At 46.5% G+C, this 23,387-nt stretch overlaps 2 protein-coding genes and 2 long non-coding RNA genes across 7 annotated transcripts in view, besides 1 other annotated feature; 3 read left to right on the top strand and 1 right to left on the bottom strand.

The window, feature by feature from the left end:
* URB1 (URB1 ribosome biogenesis factor) overlaps nucleotides 1-4,182 on the top strand; it is an 81,995-nt gene extending 77,813 nt beyond the window's left edge. The window contains exon 39 of the mRNA NM_014825.3: nucleotides 101-4,182. Coding sequence (NP_055640.2) covers nucleotides 101-282 — 182 coding nt within the window. The 3' untranslated portion in view covers nucleotides 283-4,182. The remainder of the gene's footprint in view (nucleotides 1-100) is intronic.
* MRAP (melanocortin 2 receptor accessory protein) lies at nucleotides 416-23,387 on the bottom strand. Of its 4 annotated transcripts, none has more exons than NM_206898.2 (5): nucleotides 23,351-23,387; nucleotides 22,068-22,207; nucleotides 16,123-16,238; nucleotides 8,461-8,560; nucleotides 416-649 (listed from the first exon to the last, which is right to left on the bottom strand). In NM_206898.2, the coding sequence occupies exons 3-5, from the start codon at nucleotides 16,226-16,228 to the stop codon at nucleotides 547-549; spliced, it is 309 nt and encodes a 102-aa protein (NP_996781.1). In that variant the 5' UTR covers nucleotides 16,229-16,238; nucleotides 22,068-22,207; nucleotides 23,351-23,387; the 3' UTR covers nucleotides 416-546. The 4 variants fall into 4 exon arrangements, with proteins under 4 accessions (NP_996781.1, NP_848932.1, NP_001272323.1 ...); NM_178817.4 differs by lacking the exon at nucleotides 416-649 and adding an exon at nucleotides 2,910-3,516; NM_001285394.2 differs by lacking the exons at nucleotides 416-649; nucleotides 16,123-16,238 and adding an exon at nucleotides 2,910-3,516.
* Nucleotides 6,465-8,736, top strand: MRAP-AS1 (MRAP antisense RNA 1). The gene is made up of 2 exons (NR_187556.1): nucleotides 6,465-6,681; nucleotides 8,374-8,736. It is a non-coding gene; the product is annotated as an MRAP antisense RNA 1 (long non-coding RNA).
* Nucleotides 8,448-8,742: a silencer, noted in NCBI's record as "tiled region #333; HepG2 Repressive non-DNase unmatched - State 23:Low, and K562 Repressive non-DNase unmatched - State 18:Pol2". NCBI's record gives its function as "represses a minimal TATA promoter and a strong SV40 promoter by Sharpr-MPRA in HepG2 and K562 cells {active_cell/tissue: HepG2 | K562}" and the evidence as "EXISTENCE:reporter gene assay evidence [ECO:0000049][PMID:27701403]".
* Nucleotides 16,430-23,295, top strand: LOC124905009 (uncharacterized). The gene is made up of 2 exons (XR_007067843.1): nucleotides 16,430-17,114; nucleotides 23,150-23,295. It is a non-coding gene; the product is annotated as an uncharacterized LOC124905009 (long non-coding RNA).

The raw sequence follows: 23,387 nt of genomic DNA, 5'->3' as shown, positions 1-23,387 counted from the left end.
ATTTGGGCACTTGGCAAAGCCGTTGCATTGTGGGCAGGATGACCTGTTTTCGAGCTGAGCAGGTGTGCATCCTAATGGCCTATCCCCTGCTCTTGTTCAGCCTCCGCAGCATTCCTAGTGTCTCTCTACATAAAGGACATCTGGCTGGGGGCTCAGCGGCCGGACACCCTCTTAACCCACGTCCGGATGGTGTGTGAGGCCGCAGATGATGCCCCGAGCAGTGAAGAGGAGGCCATCGTGGTGCTCTGCAAGGACGCCGCCAGCGCAGCCTCAGATGCTTGACTCCTGCCGGCCAGCACCTTGCACCCTGATGACCAGAGCCTCGAGCACAGCACCAGCTTCTAGAAGTTTGGTTGAGTCAAGGGTTTCCAGAGAAGGCATGGGAAACAACAGGTTCAGTACATTGGCTCAGTTCTTTGACAAGAAAAGTTGAGAGGACTTTATTGAACTGCCCAGTAAATGATAAACTCGGGCCTGTAGGTGCCCAGCATCAGAGTTGCAAGGAATGTGGGGACTTCTAGGCCATGAGGCCCATCCAGTGCCTCGTCAGGCCGCCCCTTCCTCTCTAGGGGCTTGGAGCTCATCACAGGAAATAGCTCGAGTTTGAGGCAGCACTTCTGAATGCAGAAGAGATTCATCTGTGTTAAAGCTGAAATGTCAAAAGGTATCAGATTTTTTTTATGAAAACGAAGAGAGATGTTTAAAGTTTATTTTTCAGCAGGTGAGGTGGCTCACGCCTATAATCCCAGCACTTTGGGAGGCCAAGGCGGGTGAATCACCTGAGGTCAGGAGTTCGAAACCAGCCTTCCCAACATGGTGAAACCCCATCTCTACTAAAAATACAAAAATTAGCCAGGCATGGTAGCGCACACCTGTAATTCCAGCTACTCGGGAGGCTAAGGCAGGGGAATCGCTTGAACCTGGGAGGTGGAGGCTACAGTGAGCTGAGATCGTGCCATTGCGCTCCAGCCTAGGTGACAGAGCAAGACTCCATCTCAAAAAAATAAAAAAATAAAGTTTGTTTTTCTATAAAAAGTCATAACAAAGTATTAGTATGACTTTTTGAATAAGTTAATTTCTGCCAGTGTTTAATTATTTTATTAAAGAAAAGGATGTTACACTGAATCCTTAAAGAATAAAAGTGATTTGACCTCTGCTTTGAGAAGACAGCCTGTAATTTTTAAAGCTATACTTCAAAGAGGGGATTTTGAATTTTATAAATGCTTGTTAATGTCTATTTTTGTAAGGTTTTTGTGTTTTCCTTTCATTGTTGTCAAGAGGCTATTTTTGCTCCACATAGGCCTGCATTTATTTTAAAGGTCAGAATTTTACTCTTAATGGTCATATATTAGTTGGGGTTGTAGCTGACAAAAGTCATGAAATTTCGTGGTTTTCACAGTTAAAATTTCCGTCTGTTCCTTTAAAACTCTCCTGCATGCCTGGGGCTCTTGGGATCTGCTCTGTGGCCTAGGATGTGGCTGTTTTATCTGCCGTATAATGTACATCGTGCTGACAATGCCTTGGTTTTGTCTGAAACATTTACACTTCTATTTTCCACCAGTGTTCTTTAGAATTGTTTCTGTTTTAGGTGACTTAAAGTTTTAACTAAAGCATGAGTAACGTTTGTTGGCATACAGTCCCTTCACCACAAATAATTGTCTTGCACTGTCTACAAAGCAAGGATCAGTTACCTCACTTGTCCCCTTCCCTACCCAAATAAACCTTACAACGCTATTCTTTGAGACTATCCTGAACTTGAAATCCCACGTTTAGATCCAAGCTGGACTCAGGCAAGCGCTGCTCCAACAAAGCGTTCTCTTCCTGGTTCCCCTTAATCTTTATCCACCTCTCCAAGGCCTATCTTTGGGGATTCCTTTGGTTATAGGCACCTCTGCTTGTTTATGCAGGGGGCATTGGCCGGAAGGACATTGGTCTGGGGAATATCCCTGAACCCCATGCCTCTGGGGGCACAGGGAGGGGCAGCGAGCAGGTGGGGTGGATTTCCACGGCTTCATCCCTGGCTCCAGGCCTAAGCTGCCTCCCAGGTTCTTAGGGCCCAGCAAGTCAATACATACTACGTCAGGTGGCGACAAATGCTCCAAAGCCGAGTTCCAGCTCAGTCAAGTGAGGACACATTTTCAGCACCTCACCTTCTTTTCTGCATCTCTGGAGCTCATCAGTCTTGCTTTTCTTTGTTCTCCCTTTTAAATCCACTGCCCTGACCTTGTTCGTGTATTTTCCAGTCACTTAGTGTGGAGGAAGGGAATCTCATCCCATGGAGAATAGATCGAACATGGTCTTCACCTGACTTAAAATATAAAATGCTAAATTAGAAATATCTTAAGTGGGGCGGGGGGCACAGTTATTTTAAAAATAAAACCTATCAACTCCCTCCTTGCCTGAAAGCTGTAGGGGACATATGGGTCTTCTGAGATTTGCTGTGTGATGCTGTCTCCTCTCCAGGGACAAGGCTGCTGGGCACTAGAGGACTAGATCTTTCAAGGGTCCCAGATCCACTGTCACATAAAGTCACATCCAGAAGACCTTTCCTGCCAGCTTCCAGGGCTCTTTGTGTTCTGTGACAGCATTTGGGCATAGATCCTGCTTACCCGGCCTGGCTGCTGACAGGCGTTGGCTGCCTGCCCTCCAGGGGAGACACTTTCTTGGGCTCTGTCTTTGAAAGGCTGTGGGGAGGTTGAAGGTGCAACTCAGGTCCCCAGACTGCAGTGAGCTGACCTGGCAGGGCAGATGCCATCACATCTGGGGGAGCCGGCGGGTGTTAGTGGAGCTTGGATGGGAACTTACCCAGCATCCTAACAAAGGTACAGAAGGACCAGGTGAACTCAGGGCTGATAACGCATTACACAGTAATGGTAAAGTGGCATAGTAAAGATTAGTAAGCAAACAGCTTTTCCTCTTGATTTGCATATATTTTATTTTCCTACTCTTCCCTGAGCAAATATAAGCAGTAAGCAAGCAGGCTAGGTGTGCTCAATAAACTCAGCAACACCTGGGATGACCTCTGCACTCGAGGGGCCACTGCAATCTTTGTCAAAGGCATAGGATGCTCCTGCTCTAGTTGCACTTGACCTAGGTGCCCTTTCTGCTACATGCAAATGGCCTCTAAGAAGAACGAGGAACGTATGTGTCCAGGTTGGCTTGATTTCACCAGTTCACTCAGCTATGGCCACGATTTACTGACATCAGCTCTGCAATTGAGAGGTCCTGTCTCCAGGGGGAGGCTCGCTGGGCTTGCTCCTGACGAGGGGACCCCCATTGAGGGTCAGTTCCCAGAGGAGAGTGGGGTGGGTCTGGAAACCCCCGAGGGGCAAGGTGGAGGAGCTCTCCTGTCGTAGCGGCTGGTCAGGGCCAGTTCTGCTCCCTGGCTCCACTGAGCTCGCCTGAGCCTGTGAGGTTGCCAGGGGTTCCCTGTGGCACGGCAGGCACTTCTGGATGCAGAGGTGGAGGTTGAGGCCGTGACTCCAGGGGCATGTTTGGTGGTGCTTGGGGCTGTTCCTGTGAACAGAGCAGAGTGGGAGGCAGGCATCATAGTTGCTGCAGAACAGTCCATACTGTGGGGCTGGGGGGTTTCCTGCCACACCTGCCATCTGCCCGGACCCCATAGGGAAGGCCACACAGGCAAATTCCTGAGAAGGGTCAGCCAGCTCACAAAGGTGGCCATTCTAGAGAAATCTCAGAGGAGAGGAAGTGCTTTGTCAGGAACTAGGCCTCAGGTCTTTCCCTGGAGGCCACTTCTTCCTACATTGATTTAGGATGGGGGGGGTGGGGGGTGGAGGGGAGCAGGTTGACCTCCCATCCAGCGCTGTATCTGAGTGTAGTTCATTTTATATCCATAGCCCAAGCCAACTTGTATCTTGGTGATATGGTTTGGCTGCGTCACGACACAAATCTCACCTTGAATTGTAATAATCCCCACGTGTCGTGGGAAGGACCCAGTGGGAGGTAATTGAATCATGGGGGCGGGTCTTCCCATGCTGTTCTCGTGATAGTAAGTCTCATGAGATCTGATGGTTTTATAAAGGGGAGTTTCCCTGCACATGCCCTTTTGCCTGTGTCATGTAAGATGTGGCTTTGCTCTTCCTTTGCCTTCTGCCATGACTGTGAAGCCTCCCCCGCCATGTGAAACTGTGAGTCCATTAAACCTCTTTCCTTTATAAATTATCCAGCCTCGGATATGTCTTTCTTAGCAGCCGAGAACAAACTAAAACACTTGGCTAGAGATGCATCCTCCCTGTGCCAAGCATGGAGGTTCACACCTGTAATCCTAGCACTTTGGGAGGCAGAGGCAGGTGGATCATGAGGTCAGGAGATCGAGACAATCCTGGCCAACATAGGGAAACCCCGTCTCTACTGAAAATACAAAAATTAGCTGGGTGTGGTGGTGGGCGCCTGTAATCCCAGCTACTCAGGAGGCTGAGGCAGGAGAATCACTTGAACCAAGGAGTCGGAAGTTGCAGCGAGCCAAGATTGCGCCACTGCACCCCAGCCTGGCAACAGAGCAAGACTCAGTCTCAAAAAAAAAAAGAAAAAAAAAAGAAATGTGTCCTCCCTGGGTGGATTCTCCTGCCCGGGAAGTGCTGGGGCAGTGGACATGGCCATCTGGAGTGAGCTCTGGCCACCACTTCCCAGCTGCCTTTAACGTCATCCATAAAATGGGACAATATTGGCTCACAGATATCCTCAGGATGAAATGAGATGATGTATAAAACGACTTAAATGTGGTTACAGCGCTGGCACAAATGAAGAGTACCAAGTGATGAACCCACTGGGCAGAGGCCATGCTTTCAGATGGCACTCGCCTAAGAATGCTCTCCCCACCTCCCTCCTCCCCTCCCCCCCCCATCATGGGAAGGTGTCAGCTCCTCAGGGAATGACTCCTAAATCTTGCTGAGGATCCACTTTGCCGCCCTGAGCATTCCAGGAATGTTACCAAGTGCCTTGAGAGCATTTTCTTTAGTAAGCCATGTAGCTGGTCAGGATGTATAGTGTCATCAGTTTGCCCCTGTGAAATAGCCCAGAAGGCCTGTGCCCCCCAGGGAGCTGGGCGTGGTGGAGGCAGCCCCTGGGCTTGCCGGACCAGACCAGGGATCTTTGCACCTTCCCTGGCATAGGGCGGCTGCAGGTCATCTCAGAAGAGTAGTAAAGAAAGGTGACATCACTCGTTTATCCCTCAGATGTGTCTTGGGTATAAAAATGTGCTTAAATTGAATGTGAGTTCTAAAAACTGAAAGAAAAGAACAGATTTCAGGCTGTGCACAGTGGCTCCTGACCTCAGTGATGCCATCTCGGCTAACTGCAACCTCTGCCTCCCAGGTTCAAGCGATTCTCTTGCCTCAGCCTCCCGAGTAGCTGGGATTACAGGCACCGGCCACGATGCCCAGCTAATTTTTGTATTTTTAATAGAGACAGGGTTTCGCCAAGCTGGCCAGGCCAGTCTCGAACTCCTGACCCCAGGTGATCCACCCACCTCGGCCTCTCAAAGTGCTAGGATTACAGGTCTGGAGTTTGAGACTGGCCTGGCCAACTTGGCAAAACCCTGTCTCTACTAAAAATACAAAAATTAGCTGTGCGTCGTGGCGGGTGCCTGTAATCCCAGCTACTCGGGAGGCTGAGGCAAGAGAATAGCTTGAACTTGGGAGGTGGAGGTTGCAGTGAGCCGAGATCACGCCACTGCACTCCAGCCTGGGTGACACAGCGAGATTCTTGTCTCAAAAACAAAAAAAAAAAAATGAATTTCTTCATTGCTCTAAAGCTACCTTCCATATGTGACCAAAGGTGAGCGGAAATGGCCTGGCGAGTGTAGCCCTGGTGGGTGAGACACCACGGGCAGGGCAGGCAGGGGCGGGGAGGAGAATCAGAGGCCCCTTCAAGGTAATGTTGGGCTGTGGTATGGTTTGTCCCCACCAAAACTCGTGGAGACCTGGTCCCCAGTGTGGCAACACTGGGAGCTGGGACCTTTAAGAGGTAATGAGTTTTTTTTTTCTCTAGACTGAATTAGATCTTTTTACAAAATGAGGCCCTCACCAGAAGCTAAGCAGATGTCGGTGCCATGCTTCCTAGACTTCTAAGCCTTCAGAACCATGAGCTAAATAAGCCTCTTTTCTTCATAAATTACTCAGCCTCAGGTATTCTGTTACAGCAACAGAAAACACTAAGACGCTGTGCCAATGCGCGAGTCCACGGCTCTTCACGGGACCTGGCATGGGACGCACTGGCTCAGGGGCTCCAAGGCCACTCAGCTCTTCCTCAGCACAGTTTGGCTCATCTCTCTGCTGACCAGCTTCCTACGCTTAGGGTTTCCAGTCCCCAAGACTTCCGTCCGTAATGGACATAATGGTCTATAATGGCACCCAGCCCTAGTCCTCCTCCTGGACCAATCAGTGCAGCCCCCATAGCCACCAGGTCCATCCCTCAGGTTCTAGATTCCAAATTCCAAAGATGAGAATCTGACCAGTCCCAGCTCTTTTGCCAGGGCACACGTTTCCAAGGGCATGGGCCAGCCACTGGACAGGCCCTCTTCGGGTGAGCGATGGCAAAATATAGGGTCCCTCCTAAGAACAGTCATTAGGAGAGCAGCAGCTGTGAGGGCTGATTAGCCTAGAAGGGAACATTGGATGTGTCAGCCAATCCTCTAGCACAACAGAATTAACATAAAACAAGGTGGGTTCCAATTACTCCTTAAAACTCCTGGATTTCACCTCCAATTTAGTGGCACACAGCAGGCATCTGAGAACAGATGCTGGCCATAGGTGCCTAAGGTAAGGATCTTTCTTTTTCTTTTTTCTTTTTTTTTTCTTTTTGGAGACAGAGTTTCTCTCTTCTTGCCCAGGCTGGAGTGCAGTGGTGCAATCTCGGTTCACTGCAACCTCTGCCTCCTGCGTTCAAGCGATTCTCCTGCTTGGCCTCACGAGTAGCTGGGATTACAGGCATACACCACCACACCTGGCTGATTTTTTAAAAATATTTTCAGTAGAGATGGGGTTTCACCATGTTGGCCAGTCTGGTCTCAAAGGCCTGATCTCAGGTGATCCGCCCACCTTGGCCTCCCAAAGTGCGGGGATTACAGGTGTGAGCCCCCACACCTGGCCAAAGGTAAGGTTCTTATGTTCCTGGTGAGCTGGCCGGCAAGACTTAATGCCCATGGTGTCAAGTTGGCTTCATTTTCTTTAACAGCTTTAGTGAGATATATTTTCATTCCATGAGGTTGACTCATTTAAAGAGTACAATTTCAGTGGTCTTCAGTACATCCATAGAGTTGTGCAACCATCACCATAATCTAATTTTAGAACTTTTTGTTTGTTTGTTGAGACAGGGTCTTGTTCTATCACCCAGGCTAGAGTGCAGTGGCGCAATCACAGCTCACTGCAGCCTTGACCTGCTGGGCTCTAGTGATCCTCCTGCCTCAGCCTCCTGAGTAGCCGGGACTACAGGTGCGCACTACCATGCCCAGCTAACTTTTTGTTATTTTTTATGGAGATAGGGTCTCGAACCCCTGGGCTCAAGCGATCCTCCTGCCTTGGCTTCCCAAGGTGCTGGGATTACAGCAGGTGTGAGCTACTGGGCCTGGCTTAATTTTAGAACTTCTTTTTTTTTTTTTTTTTTGAGACGGAGTCTCACTCTGTTGCCCAGACTGGAGTGTAGTGGCACAGTCTCGGCTCACTGCAACCTCCGCCACCTGGGTTCCAGCAATTCTCCTGCCTCAGCCTCCTGAGTAGCTGGGATTACAAGTGCGTGCCACCACGCCCGGCTAATTTTTGTATTTTTAGTAGAGACAGGGTTTCACCAAGTTGGCTAGGCTGGTAACTTGAACTCCTGACCTCAAGTGATCCACCCATCTCAGCCTCCCAAAGTGCTGGGATTACAGGCGTGAGCCACCACGCCCAGCTTAATTTTAGAACATTTTTATCATCCCCAAAAGAAACCCATCAGTAGTCATTCCCCCTTCCCCGCTCTCCCCCCAGACCTAGGCAGCTGCTAATCTGCTTTCTGTCTCTACAGAATTTGATTTGCCTACTCTGGATGTTTTGTGTGAATGGAGTCATACAACATGCAGCTCTGTGTCTGTCTTCTTTCACTTAGCATGATGTTTTTGAGGTTCATGCATGTTGCAGCATGGATCAGAACTCCATCCCTTTTTATTGCTGAATACTATTCCATTGTAGGGACGTAGGTTGAGCATCCCAAACCCGAAAATCTGAAACGCTGCAAAATCTGCAACATACTGAGCACTGACATGAGGCTCAAAGGAAATGCTCGCTGGAATATTTCGGATTTTTGGATTTGAGATGCTCAGCTGGTAGGTACAATGCAAATATTTTTAAATCCCAAATCTGAAACACTTCTGGTCTCCAGCATTTTGGATGAGGGATACTCAACCTGCACTGTTACTCACTGGAGAGCGTCTGAGTGACCCACAGACTCACACCCCTTCTTACCCACCTCATCTGCGGGGAGGCGGACCAGGACATGTAGAGCAAGATGAGGAAGAGCAGCACCACGAAGGCAGCCAGGCTCACCCAGAATGCGATCACGATGGAATCTGCGGGAGGAGGAGATGCATCTCAGCGCTGGGTTATGTCAACATAAAGCAACGCTGAGGGGCAGTAAGGAGTCCCAGGGTATTGTGGAATGAGGGCCCTGAGTTTCGGTTGTCCTCCAGCCTCTCAGCTGTTACCATGGGGAAGATCTCCCATTAACAATAACTTTGGGAAAGAACAGGGGAGCCAAGAAGTGTCTTTTTCCTCAGGGCAGCTGGCCACGGGGTCTGTTTAGGGTGATTGTTAAGAGGAAACACTGAATGGAATTGTGTGCCCCCCCACCCCATGCATCTGCTTGCCCGGCTCCTAGTGGTGCTCAGAGGAACAGTCCTGAAGGATGGGAGGGAGAGGAGAGGGCTGTGGGCAGCTCTGTGTGTTAGGAAGGACTCCTGGGCCCCCGGGAGGGATGCAGCGCCTACCAGGGGCCGTTGGTGGAACAGCTTCAGAGACCCCAGGAGTTGATACCCTGCGGAGGATGTGCGCTGGGCTACAGCGCTCCGGTGGGGAGGCCCTTTCTGCTCTACGGGAGTTAGCCTAGGTCTGCTCATGCCTGGATCGGCAAGGTGGAAATAGCGAGTCCCTCTCTCAGGCAGGAAGTCTCATCTCAGGGGCTGTGGCAGGAAGGAAAAAGCACTTTTGCTACCAGCATGATGGCTGTATTTGTGGCCTGAGGCTGAAGGGGGAAAGGGAAACCAGGAAACACACTTAGCCCCCCTGGGGCCCTGGGTAGAACCTGGCTGGCCAGGAGGGGCCTTTTTCCTTCTCCAGGCTCCAGTTTGGGAATGTTAGGCCAGTTGCTATGGAACTACTTTCTAGCACGACAGTTTTTCTTGGTGGTTGTCTGTGGCTGTGGGCAATCCGGCTCGTAATTAGGGTCTGCAAGTGTCTTATCCCAGACCAACTGCGTAATGCCAAGATGTCACAAGCTGAGATATTCTAGACGCCTATGTGTGTGACCAAAAGGCGCTATTAGAGGATGATAACCTAACGAGAATTCATTGAGCGCCTTTTGCGAGGGACTGTTCAGGATTCAGAGGGGGCTAAACCAGCACATTAGAAATTGCTAACTCCCCTCATTCACCCACAATGTTCCACCCCCAACCTCCTCCTCCTCTGAACTTCTGCAGTGCTTCCAGCACTAACACTGTGAGTAAATGAATGAGAGAACGTGCAAACCACTGAAAGAATGAATAAAGTGAGAGTAATCTACATAGAGGCAGAGGTGGAGGCTCTGGGGTGAAGATTGGTATTTGAGTAAAGGATGTCATCTCTGCCATCTACGACCCCTGAGAGATAGCAGGAAAAACTGAGGACTCATAAGAGTTGATCTTGGACCCTAAAATGTAACATTAAAAACAGGGTATAATGGGCTGGGCACAGTGGCCCATGCCTATAATCCCAACACTTTGGGAGGCCAAGGTGGGAGGTGGATCACTCGAGTCCAGGAGTTCGAGACCAGCCTGGACAACATAGCAAGACCCCATGTCTAAAAAAAAATTTTTTTGATTACCTGGGCACGGTAATGCCCATAGTCCTACCCCTTCATGAGGCTGGGGTCGGAGGATCACTTGAGGCCAGGAGTTCAAGGCTGAAGTGAGCTACGATCACGCCAGTGTGCTCCAGCCTGGGCCACAGAGCAAGATGCTGTCTCAAAAAAAAAAAAAAAAAAAAAAAAACAACAAAAAAAACAAATCCCCCTCAAAACAGGGTATAATGAAAAGGCACAGTATTGGCGAAAGAATCATGAGCATCCATTGCCTTGTAATTCATCAGCAACTTGGCATTTACACTCCACGGGGGCAGGGACAGCAAAGACCCCCAGGCTGGCTCTCATGTCTCTCCTGTCTGTCTCCGAGCTGAGAAACTGACGCAGTCCCCTAGAGCAGGGAACTGTTTAAGAGCACCTCTGGATTCCTGGGGAAAGGGAAATGAGGTTGAACTGTGTGTCCTAAGCTTAAAAGGAGTTTTTTTGGTTTGTTTTGTTTGTTTGTTTGTTTTGTTTTGTTTTTTGTTTGTTTTTTTTTGTTTGAGACAGAGTCTTAATCTGTCACCAGGCTGGAGTGCAGTGGCACAATCTCGGCTCACTGCAACCTCCGCCTGCCGGGTTCAAGTCGTTCTCCCGCCTCAGCCTCCCGAGTAGCTGGGATTACAGGTGCCCACCACCACATCCAGCTAATTTTTGTATTTCTAGTACAGATGGGGTTTCACCATGTTGGGCAGGATGGTCTTGATCTCCTGACCTCATGATCCACCTGCCTCGGCCTCCCAAAGTGCTGGGGTTACAGGCGTGAGTCACCGCACCCAGCCAGCTTAAGGATTTTTGAAAGAAGCCTCTGACTCTCTTAGCCTTCCTTGCCCACCCCCTGTGCATTGTCCTACACTCCCGAAGAGTTACAATCTATTTTACAACCCTTACAGTAAAAGAGTGCATATGCTGTCAGAAAATGGGATTGGAAGTTTTATTCTGTAGGGATATTTTAGGTTTCTGCGGACACTAATGCTCTTTTTCCTTCCTAAAAATAGTGCAGGGTTTGAGGTCTTATAGCACCTACATAAATTCTACCAGGGATCTAAGGGAACAGCTTCAAACTCAGCACCTGAGAGCCCCTTTCTCCCAGACTGACACTTGTCTGAGTCCTTATCGTCATCCCCAGATATTGAGCAAGAAATAAGATGACAGGTTTCACAGAACGCAGTGTCTTCATATAAGTGGAGTTTAAGTTTTGTCAGACCAAAAGGCAATCGTCAGCCAATAGTCATTTTCTTTACTAAAATCTCCTTCATCATGTTCTGTTGAAAAAAAATAGGCAAGAGAATATCATTCTTTTTCCTCTTCCTTCTGAAGGTTCACCCAAGTGCTTGGAGAGAACATTTCATTCCAAAAGCAAGAGCTGTGTGACTCTCCAGTGTCAGAAATAGTTAGACATCCCTAGGCTGGTTTTCCCAACAGGGAGCCCCAGGCTGGGTTGACAATGAAAGTGGTCCAGCCATAGAAACTTATCTCCTTTCCTCTCTCCTATCCTCCCTTCTCCTCCCTGCCTGTTCTTTCCTCCTTTCCTTCCCTCTCTCCTCTCTTCCCTCCTTCCTTTCTCTCCTTCCCCTCTGGGTCCACACTGGTGGAATGAGGGGAATTAGTCCTCAGCAGCGGAGTGACAGGAATGGTTCTGGATGGCATGGCCAGGCTGCACTTCATCTTGGGAGGATTCTTATCCTAACTTGGAGTTAACAAATTAATCCAATCTAAGGGTTCATTCTTATAGTAGACACTTCTGTTTTGTTAAATAAACAGTTTTAGCATTCCTCCATTCTTCATTCTACTAACGTTTGGGTTCCAGAGTTCCAGCAGAAAATCAAGATGTGGTTGGGCATGGTGCCTCAGCCTGTAATCCCAGCACTTTGGGAGGCCAAGGTGGGTGGATCACCTAAGGTCAGGAGTTCGAGACCAGCCTGGCCAACATGGTGAAACCCCGTCTCTACTAAAAATACAAAATAAAATTAGTCAGATATGGTGGCACATACCTGTAATCCCAGCTACTTGGGAGGCTGAGGCAGAAGAATAGCTTGAACTTGGGAGGCAGAGGTTGCAGTGAGCCGAGATTGAGTCACTGCACTCCAGCCTGGGTGATAGAGTGAGACTCCATCTCAAAAAAAAAAAAAAAAAAGGGAATTGGGGCATAGGTTACTACTGTCAACTCTAAGGTCAGCCCTTGTGTGCTTCCGTCGTGATAGAACCTTTGCTTTTAGCAGGACACTTGGCTGCCTGAGTTAAAGACTATGTTTCCTTGCCTCCTTTTCAGAGAACAATGTGACAAGGTTCTGGCCAATGAGATATGAGTGGAGCCATCACAGGACAGCTTCTAGGAGCCTCCCTCCAGGGGTTACTAGACTTCTAGCACCGTGTGTCCGTTCTTATTCCCTTACTCCATGTTGCTCCGTGAACACGGATGTGATGGTCAGAGCATGGCTTGCAACCTGAGGATGAGGGCAGCCATGTCCCAGGGATGGTAGTGCAATGAGCTAGAAGGATGTGAGTTCCTAAGGACTCCATGGAGCCACCTCACTAGCCCAGTCCTGTAGACTGAGATAAACTAACTTCTGTTTTATCTGGTACTCTGTTAGTTGTAATCCATTTTCTTTACCAAGTCAGCAAAGAAACGGACTTTCTCAATGAATGTACCAGAACTTAAAAATCCAAATGAAAGGTGACCTTCAAAATAATCATCCTCTCTCTACCATGGAGTCATAGAATTCTTACTAAAACACATATATTCATCAAATACTTACAGGTCTCTTCTTTTGGAATTACCTTCAAGGACTCACACATAGACACAATTTTGCTATGTTGTGAGATAGTTTATTTATGACATCCAGATGGTATCAACCAGCTTAATCACCCATTTCATTAACCTGACTTTTTTCTGGGTCAGTCTTAACTATTTCCAAAAAGAAAATTCATCCTCAAAAGATATACACAATTTATCACCACAGATGTTTGCTAGAATGTTTTGTGGCCACCCAACAACATCAGTTCAAGAAGTTGTTGAGCAACAGTAGAGTCATTCAAGTGTTGCACCTGCCCCTGGTGCTACCTTGATGGAAATTCATTTACAGATACACATTCTGTTATCTTTGTTTAAAAATTACTTTCACTACTTATGTCATGCCCTGAATATGATTGCTCTGAATGAGAGAAAAAGAGTTTTATGTAGTCGTTTTGTTTAATCTATACTTTGAATTTTCTACATTGTGTGCAGAGAAATTGGTTGACAGTGTCATTTTGTTCTCTTGCGTCCTGTGCTCAGAGAAGCAGAGGAACAGACTGTCTCATTGAACCACCATGACAGCAGAGGTCAATATGGACTATGACCAGTTCTTCTTAACCCATAACTAAAGGGAAGCAGATATATTGACCTGAGAGGTAAATAATAGAGCATTAAGCCAGGCACTACTCAAGGGAAATCAGCCCATCCTACTCTCTGAAAGGGAGCATTAGGCTGGTATCTGGAGACTCACTATGTTAGAATAATCTGTATTGCTGCTGTAAGATTGATTTTCTTCTAAGCTTAGCCTCGGAAAAGGGCACAGATGAAGATCAAACATGTAATTAGTCAATTCAGGCAGGGCCTCAGGAAACAGGCATGGCAGCTTCTGCTTCTGGGGAGACCTCAGGAAACTTACGATTATGGCAGAAGGCAAAGGGGGAGCCAGCACTTTCCATGGCCAGAGCAAGAGGAAGAAAGAGGAGATGGCACACACATTTAAACAACCAGATTTCCTAATAACTCACTCACTATCATGAGAAAGCACCAAGGGCATGGTGCTAACCCACACATCACACATCAGAGCATAAGCACAAACATTTTACAATCCATCCTAATTGGGCCAGGCGTGGTGGCTCACGCCTGTAATCCCAGCACTTTGGGAAGGTGAGGCAGGTGGATCACAAGGTCAGGAGATCGAGACCATCCTGGCTAACACGGTGAAACCACGTCTCTACTAAAAATACAAAGAAATTAGCCATCATATATCATATGATATATGATATCATATACGATATATCATGATATATATGGATATATGATATGATATATATCATATGATATATTTGATATATCTGATACATATGCGATATATCATCATATCATATATCATGATATATGAAATATGATACATCTTTGAAATCATGATATATCATTGATATGACATACACGATATATCATGACACATAGACACATGACGCCCCGACATAGGATGCATGACACCCGACATAGGACGCATGACGCCCCTGACATAGGGCGCATGACATATCCGACATAGGACACATGACGCCCCTGACATAGGATGCATGACACATCCGACATAGGAGGCATGACGCCCCTGACATAGGACGCACGACACACTGACATAGGACGAATGACGCCCCGACATAGGACGCATGACGCCCCTGACATAGGACGCGTGACACATCCGACATAGGACGTGTGACGCCCCCGGCATAGGACGTGTGACGCATCTGACATACGACGCGTGACATATCCGACATAGGACGTGTGACGCCCCTGACATGACGTGTGAAACATCTGACATAGGACACGTGACGCATCTGACATGCGACGCATGACGTGACATAGGATGCGTGACACATCCGACATAGGACGCATGGCGCCCCTGACATAAGACGTGTGAAACATCTGACATAGGACGCATGACGCATCCGACGCAGGACGCGTGATGCATCCGACATAGGATGCGTGACGCCCCTGACATAGGATGTGTGACATCTGACATAGGACGCGTGACGCCCCTGACATAGGATGCATGACACATGACGCATCTGACATACGACGTAATCCCAAAGTGCTGGGATTACAGGCATGAGCCACCATGCCTGGTCTGCGTTTACTTTTTCTGTGTGTGTGTGGAGATGGGATCTCACTGTGTTGCCCAGGCTGGCCTCGAACTCCTGGCCTCAAGTGATCCTCTCTAGTTGGTGGGATTACAGGCGTGAGCAATTGCACCCAGCCCTGCATTTACTGTTTGACAGACAGTATGTGATTATAGTGAGTGAAAACCCAAGGAAGCTAAGACTTCCTACGGGATAGGTAGCGCATGGGTTTCCAGGGCTGAGACCCAATCTTCCCAGGCTTTGTTTTTGTTTTGTTTCTCATGCTCACTTCCGCATCTAATTTGTCATTGTGATCAAGTAGCTGGACTCCTCAGAGAAGATTGTCCACACATGCCACGTTAGCCAAGAGATAAGGAACCCGAGGGCAGATGAGCAAAAAGAAGTGAAGTCATGCTGGTTTGTCCTTGCTGAGACTATGAAGATTAAACGTATGTTGGCATTTTAGTAAAAATCATTAAATCTGCATTTTAGGGATGGAGAGAATAACTGTCCCAAATCTAAATACAGACAGTGGAAAAGGCAAATCTTTAATTTGAGGAAACTCGCTCAGCTTATTGGAGCCCCAAACAAATTAAACAAGAAATCTATCTTTAAAAGAATATTCTCGCCAGGCACGGTGGCTCACACCTGTAATCCCAGCACTTTGGGAAGCCGAGATTGGGGGATCACTTGAGGCCAGGAGTTCCAGACCAGCCTGGGCAATATAACATGTCTCTATAAAAAAATACACAAAATTAACCAGGCGTGGTAGCATGTGCCCATAGTCTCAGTTACTTGGGAGGCTGAGGTAGGAGGATTACTTGACCCAGGGCAGTCGAGGTTGCAGTGAGCTATGGTCACGCCACTGCACTCCAGCCTAGGCAACAGAGCTAGACCCTATCTCCAAAATAAAATAAAATAAAGTAAAAAATAAAAATTCTGCTTCCAAAGTGTCTTCGTGACTTAGCAGGTTAATTCCAAGCTTATTACAGAAGTTAGCAAATACAGTTTCTCTCCCAGCCCCATTCATTTATATCTATGAGTGAACTGGCCACATTCCTGCTTTCCCATGATGTCTACCGGAGTTAATAAGTGAATGCAGAGAAAGCCGGGAGTGCCCAGTCATTTGGGCCCCGGCCCCCAGCCTCTGTCTGACCGGCTTCCCTAGTTCAGACTTACGTTTGTGGGCTTTCAGCTTCTTCTCGTCCACGGGAATGAGGTCCAGATAGTCCAGGTAGTATTCATAGCTGTAGTATGGGGCAGAGGCGTTGGTCCCGTTGGCCATGTCTGTGGCACTGGGCAGTCAGCGTCCGGGCCGGCAGCCTCGCCTCGAGCCAGGCGCCAAGCCCCTGGGAGGAGACTGCCTCACTGATTTCTGCAGGAATCGTCCAAGTGTGTCTGTGGGTCTCTAGGCTCAAGGTCTGCCCACTTATCAGAGCTATTTGGCTGGAAGAAAGGTCAGGGGGGTGTGTCTCACAACGCCAGCATCCAGCAGAGCTTCCCATCTGCCCCTTCTTGATAAAACTCCAAAGCACACAGAGCAGAGAGGCAGGAGAACGGCTTTCCAGGGCAGCCCTAGGATCCCTCTCTGTGTGAGGACAGGGAGCTGGGCGGGAAATAGTCGCCCAGGGCCCCTTAGAAGATGCCCAATAGGGCTGGAAAGACAATCGCTTTTTGTCTTAAATACTTGAAAAGTTAAAAGAACCAAAATGTAAGCCCGACAGTGCCCTTGACTTACATTTAAGCAATTCTGGATGCTATTGAGCAACCACCAAACTGCTGGCTTAGATTCAATATCTGAGGGCAGAAATCGAGTGATGCCAGCCGTGAACTTGTAAACCTCTGTCATGTACTCATAGCCAGTTAATTAAAACCAAAAGAGAGCCCCCTGCCCCAACAGAGTGCACCTCTCCACTTATATCTAAGCCCCCCAAGAACCAACCAGCCGGCTGCATTTGTTCAGACTCAAAAGGCTGTTTATCTCTGACACAACCCCATGTGGTCCAAGCTCTTGGGAAATAGAGTCCACTCAGCTCTTGGCTGATACCACACGTGACGCAGATTCTTCTGGGTTTCTGTAGAGCTTGACTCCAAATTATACACCCTCCTCTGAGATCCTCAGACACTAACAAGAGGAACATTCTGAACATCTGGAATGAGCAGGACCACAGGTGAGAGGAACCCTAGAATTTAGCCTTTGAGAATTAGGAGGCCAAAACACACGGCTTACATGGCCTTTCCCTCCAATACGCCCAGCTTTCTTGTGTTCTTGATTCAGGTCTACAGTATCAGAGTAAACCTGGGTATTGACAGTGTAGACAGTCCACCCAGATAACTTGAGCCCCTCCGCTGGTTTTGCTGAGGCCTGCCACGCCTGAGGCATTCCTTGGGGAGCACTTTGAGGGTAGTTCAGTTGACCAGAAGGGGAGGAATGAGGCTCTTGTGTTTCCCAAGTGAGGGGCAAAATATCTACTTGAAAAGTAAAATAAAACCTCTGCTCCCGCTACACCGTACATTTCTGACGCCAGACTTGTGGGCTTTTCCATACCAAGCAATTTCCTATTCTTGGTAGACACTCGCTGGGTGTCCTACAATGTAACTCAATCCTGACACTATGTCATTTGCTAGAATGGCTCACACACAGAACTCAGGTCAAACAGTTCACTTACTAGATGACTGGTTTGTCATAAAAGAATACAACTCAGGAACAGCCACGTGGAAGAGACACATGGGGCAGGGTGTGGGAAAGGGCACGGATTTTTCCACGCCTGATCCAGGTGCACACCCTCCCAGCACCTCAATGTGTTCACCAACTTGGAAGTTCTCTGAAGCCCCTTGAGGAGGGTTTTTGTAGGGTTTTATCATGTGCTATGCCATCTAGATGATTATTATATTCCATTATGTGGGCACCATTGATGAAATCACTGGCTATCAGTGAATGAACTCAATCCCCAGCCTCTCTCCCCTTTCCAGGGTGGGAGTGAACATTGCAACCCTCTAATATATGGTTGGTTCCTCTGACAACTAGCCCCCACCTCATTGGCATAAACTCAGGTAGAGTTGAAAGTGGCTTATGCTGATTAACAGAAGATGCTTCTCTTACCCCATTACTCAGATATTGCAAGTTTTATGAGTTCTGTGCTACCAGGGACAAAGATCAAATACAGTCAAATGCTGACTAATAATGCTTCCATCAATGACCAGCTCCATATAGAACAGTGGTCACATAAGATTATAATGGAGCTGAAAAATTCCTATCACTAGTGACACCGTAGCCAACATAACATCATTGCACATTTACTTTATTTTATAAATAAATTTAGTATAGGCTAAGTGTGGTGCTTATAAAGTCTACAGTAGTGTCCAGTAATGTCCTAGGCCTTCGCATTCACTCACCACTCCCTGCCTCATGCAGGGCAACTTCCAGGCCTGGAGGCTTCATTCATGGTAAGGGCCCTATACAGATGTACTATTTTTAAAAAAATCTTTTATAGTGTATTTTTACTGTACTTTTTGTATGTTTAGATATGTTTATATCTAACACTAATAATATCATAATACTATCATAAATCCTTACCATTGTGTTATAATTGCCTACAGTATTCAGCATAGTAACAATAGGTTTATAGCCTTGGAGACAATAGGCTAGGCCGTTCAGCCGAGGTGTGTGGTAGGCTGTGCCCTCTAGATTCGTGTAAGTAGACTCTCTGATGTTCACACAATAACGAAATCACCTAGCGATGCAATTATCACAATGTAACCCCGTTGTGAAGTGACACATGACTCTACATGTTTCTTATATCAAAATATCACAAAGACATCCCCCACACCATGCACCCACCTGTGTACTTCCAGATGTTTCTGTGTACACTGCTGTACACATGTCTCCCAGGTGTGTACAACACTGTGCAAATAACACTATTCTGGGCTGAATTGTGCTCCCCCAAATTCCTAAGTTGAAGCCTTCACCCCCAGTATCTCAGAATGTGACTGTATTTGGAGATAGGATCTTTAAGGAGATAATTAGGTTAAAAAGCCATGACAATGGGTTCTAATCCAAGATGACTGGTGTCTTCATAAGAAGAGGAGGTTGGGATACCACCGAGGCACAGAAAGAAGATGATGTGAAGACACAGGGAGGAGATGGCCATTGACAATTGCAAGGGGCCTCAGAACGAAACCAGGCCCACTTATACCTTGATCTTGGACTTCCAGCCTCCAGAATTGTGAGGAAATACATTTCTGTGTTTTTGTTTTTTGTTTTGTTTTGTTTTGTTTTTTGAGATGGAGTCTTGCTCTGTTGTCCAGGCTGGAGTGCAGTGGCGTGATCTTGGCTTACTCCAACCTCTGCCTCCTGAGTTCAAGTAATTCTCCTGCCTCAGCCTCCCAAGTAGTTGAGATTACAGGCAGGTGCCACCACGTCTGGCTAACTTTTGTATTTTTGGTAGAGATGGGGTTTCACCATGTTGGCCAGGCTGGTCTCGAACTCCTGATCTCAGGAGATCCGCCTGCCTCGGCCTCTCAAAGTGCTGGGATTACAGGCATGAACCACCACTCCTGGCCATATTTCTGTTAAGACACCTACTCTGGGACTTTGGGCTAGTTGGGCAGACCAAGCAGACTAATACTGTTATAATGGGTAGCTAGTCAGGTATGAGCAAGGCAGGAGAGGGCTCCCCCTACACATACACCAGGAGTGTCGGGCAAACATCAAGTGATGGTTAGGCTGTTGTTAACTATCTCTCTAAAGTAATAATTGGTCACAGGCGGCGCCAAGAAAAGGCAGAATCCCAATAGATAGAAAACACCTAAAACTGGTCATCAGCTTCCTGATAGGATCTCAGGAGTTGGGCGAGTGGGCTCAAGCATGGCATGTGGACAGCCCACCCCCAGGGAGGAATCAGGGGAGAAGGAATGCAAGTCCCCAGAAGTATGCCCACATATAAAGCCCAAAGACAAAAGGCCCAGTTGTGCACTTGATCTCGCCAGTTGCCCGCTTGGCCCCCTTCCATGTGTACTTTACTTCCTTTCGTTCCTGCTCTAAAGCTTTCTAATAAGCGTTCACTCCTGTTCTAAAACTTGCTTCAGGCGCTTTTCCTGTCTTATGCCCCTTAGTTGAATTCTTCCTTCTGAGGAGGCAAGAATTGAGGTTGCTGCAGACCCGTATGAATTTGCTGCCAGTAGTGATACCACTATCCATCATCTAGATCTAGTTGCCTTGGATAGAATACTATATTCAACAGTTGCAGAATACACATTATTTTTAAGTGTAATTAATGCTTTTTTGATACTATCATAAATGTTTTCTGTTAGTGTCAAAAATTATAAAACACATAGGAATAAAATTAACAAAAGATATGCAAGAGTAAAACCTGCAAAATGTTACTGAGAGAGACGAAATAAGACCTAAAATATGGAGAGAGATACCAGCTTATGGTTTGAAAAATTCAGTATTATTAAGATGTTAAATGGCCCCAAATTGATCGTGTTCCCTGCAATCCCAATCATCATCCCAGCAGCTTTACAAACTGTAGAAATGGACATATTGATAAATTACATTCAGCTGAAATTTAAAACATTTGTTTATCGAAAGTGATTACTAAGAAAATGAATAGGCAAGCCACATACTGGAAAGAAAGTTAAAAATTATATATCTACTAAGGAATTTATACCAAGAGTATATACATCAATAATAAAAAGACAGATAACCCAATTAAAAAACTGGCCATAGACTTGAACAGATACTTTATAAAGAAAGATATGTGAATAGCCAATACGCACATCAAAAAGTGCTCCAAGTCATTAGTCATCAGGGAGATGCAATTAAAATCAGGAGACACCTGTCCGGGTGCGGCGGCTCATGCCTGTAATCCCAGCACTTTGGGAGGCTGAGGCGGGTGGGTCACAAGGTCAGGAGATCGAGACCATCCTGGCTAAAATGGCGAAACCCCTTCTCTACTAAAAATACAAAAAAATTAGCCAGGTGTGGTGGCAGGCGCCTGTAGTCCCAGCTACTCGGGAGGCTGAGGCAGGAGAATGGTGTAAACCCAGGAGGTGGAGCTTGCAGTGAGCCGAGATTGCACCACTGCACTCCAGCCTGGGCAACTGAGTAAGACTCTGTCTCAAAAAACAAGCAAACAACAAAAAACAAAACCAGTAGATACCTCTACAGAATGGATAAAATTAAAAAGACCTTCCTACATTTTCCAGTTGAGCATAATTTTATTAGTTTGGAATTTTTACTTCTGTCTGACAAAATACTGATTATTAAGTTGAATTTATTTGTCTGATAATAATCTGGATTTTAAAATATCCATGATGGATAAGCAGAGACTGACTAGAAAAAAAAAAAAGATCCATGCAAGTCCCCTAGTAGAAAAACAATTTAAAAAAATGTTGCCCCTTTGACATTAGTAAGAAGTGACACTGCTGTCAAGGTTAACTCTAAGATAATAATGACATACTTATATTAACAAATACCTCAAAGTCCTTGACTGTTAGCATTGTTTTTCTTCTCCCTTTAATTTGTAACCCAAGTCTTGAAGGTGAAGTTCTTTTTTCTAGGATGTTTTCTATTACATTAGTGATCATCACAACTACAGATTGAGTGTGGAGAGAAAGGTAGAAGGGAGAAATCTAGAGAGGGAGACGGCACAAACGTTTATTGAACGATGACCTGGACGAGGTGCTTTAGGCAATTCTCACAATACTATGGTCTCAGGTGGTGGGACCTCATTTTCCAGGCAAAGAGCTGGATACAGCCAGATACAGCCGTCTCCAGGCCCTGCTGTTTCCAGTACCCCTGAGATTTGCAACCTGGGTGCATTAGTGTGCTATGGCTGCTGCAACATGTTACTAGAAACTTGGTGACTTAAAACAACATAGATTTGGTGTCTTACCTTATGTCAATTTCTATTTTTTTTTTGCCTTACAGTTCTGGAGGCCAGTAGCCTGTAATGAGTCTTATGGGACTCAAACAAGGTGTTGCCAGGACTGGTTCCTTCTGGAGGCCCCAGGAGAGAATCTGTTTCCTTGCCCTTTCCAGCTTCGGGGGGCTGTCCTCATTCCTTGGTTCATGGCCCCCACCACACTGCCGTCCTCCCCTGCTTTCATTATCACATCACCTTTTCCCTCTTCCGTAGTCAACTCTCTCTTCTTCCAAAGCTCCTCTTCTTATAAGGACAGTTGTGATTATACTGGGTCCGTGCAGGTAATCAAGGATAATTTTTCCATCTCACAATCCTTAATCACATCTGCAAAGTCCCTTTTGCCACATAAAGTAAAATGCACAGGCTTAGGGGACTAGAATGTAGATATTTTTGGGGGCCATTAATCAGCCTCTGCACTGGGCAAACAATGTCACATCCTGGGAATATAAATCCTCAAAATAAACACACTTCTTTCTGGAGTGTCCATGTTTTTATTAAAGATTTTTGCTATAAAAGTTACATTTTAATGGCTGGGCATGGTGGCTCACACCATGCCCAGCCATTGGGAGCCAACATTTGGGAGGCAAATGCAGGTGAATTACCTGCAATTTGGGAGGCAAAGGCAGGTGAATTACCTGAGGTCAGGAGTTCGAGACCAGCCTGGCCAACATGGTGAAACCCTGTCTCTACTAAAAATACAAAAATCAGTCAGGCGTGGTGGTGCACACCTGTAATCCCAGCTACTCAGGAGGCTGAGGCAAGAGAATCGCTTGAGCCCAAGAGGAGAAGCTTGCAGTGAGCCAAGATCACGCCACTGTATTCCAACCTGGACGACAGAGCAAGACTCCATCTCAAAGGAAAAAAAGTTACATTTTAATACTGAAACAAACATAGGTGTATATCAGAGTACATGCAAAATTTGCATAACTTTGATAAAAACTCAATTTTTATCATAGATAATTTCAACATTTGCAAAAGCAGTGAGAAAGCATAATTAATTCACATGTAACCATCACTCAACTTGAACAGTTTTTATCAAATCATGGCCAAGGCCAATTTAGTTTCATCTGTAACCCTACCCACGTCTCCAACCCTGGATTACTGTGAAGCAAATTCAAAATATATCATTTCATCTGCAAATATTTCTCTATGTATCTCTGCAGGAGGGCTTTTTTTTTTAAACAAAACCATATTATCCCACCTGAATATTATTTAATTGAATCAACTATCTAGTCAATGCTCACATTTTCCTTATTTGTCTCATAATTTTTTTACAGTTAATTTGCTCAAATTGGGAGCAAGTAAGGGCCATGTGTTGCAATTGCTTGATGGGAGATGTGTCTCTGAAGTCTTGTTAAATTTACAGGTATCTTCTCTTTCCTATTCTTACTCTCTCTCTTTCTAATAAACCTTTTTTTTTAAAGAGCGGTTTTATATTCATAGCAAAATTGAGAAAAAGGGGCAGATTTTCTATATACCTCCAGCCCACACACCTGCATAGCCTCCCCATTATCC

This window comes from Homo sapiens, chromosome 21 (assembly GCF_000001405.40).
Source record: "Homo sapiens chromosome 21, GRCh38.p14 Primary Assembly".
NCBI lineage: Eukaryota > Metazoa > Chordata > Mammalia > Primates > Hominidae > Homo > Homo sapiens.
Note: the sequence above shows the minus strand (reverse complement) of the source record. Positions and strands in the feature narration are given on the sequence as shown.

Coding starts and splice junctions, on each gene's coding strand:
- MRAP (NM_178817.4), bottom strand. CDS start 16,228: ATGGCCAACGGGACCAACGCCTCTGCCCCATACTACAGCTATGAATAC. Junction 8,561..16,122: donor GAAGCTGAAAGCCCACAAAC/GTAAGTCTGAAC, acceptor CTCCTCCCGCAG/ATTCCATCGTGATCGCATTC. Junction 3,517..8,460: donor TCCGCCTCCCCGCAGATGAG/GTGGGTAAGAAG, acceptor CTCTGTTCACAG/GAACAGCCCCAAGCACCACC.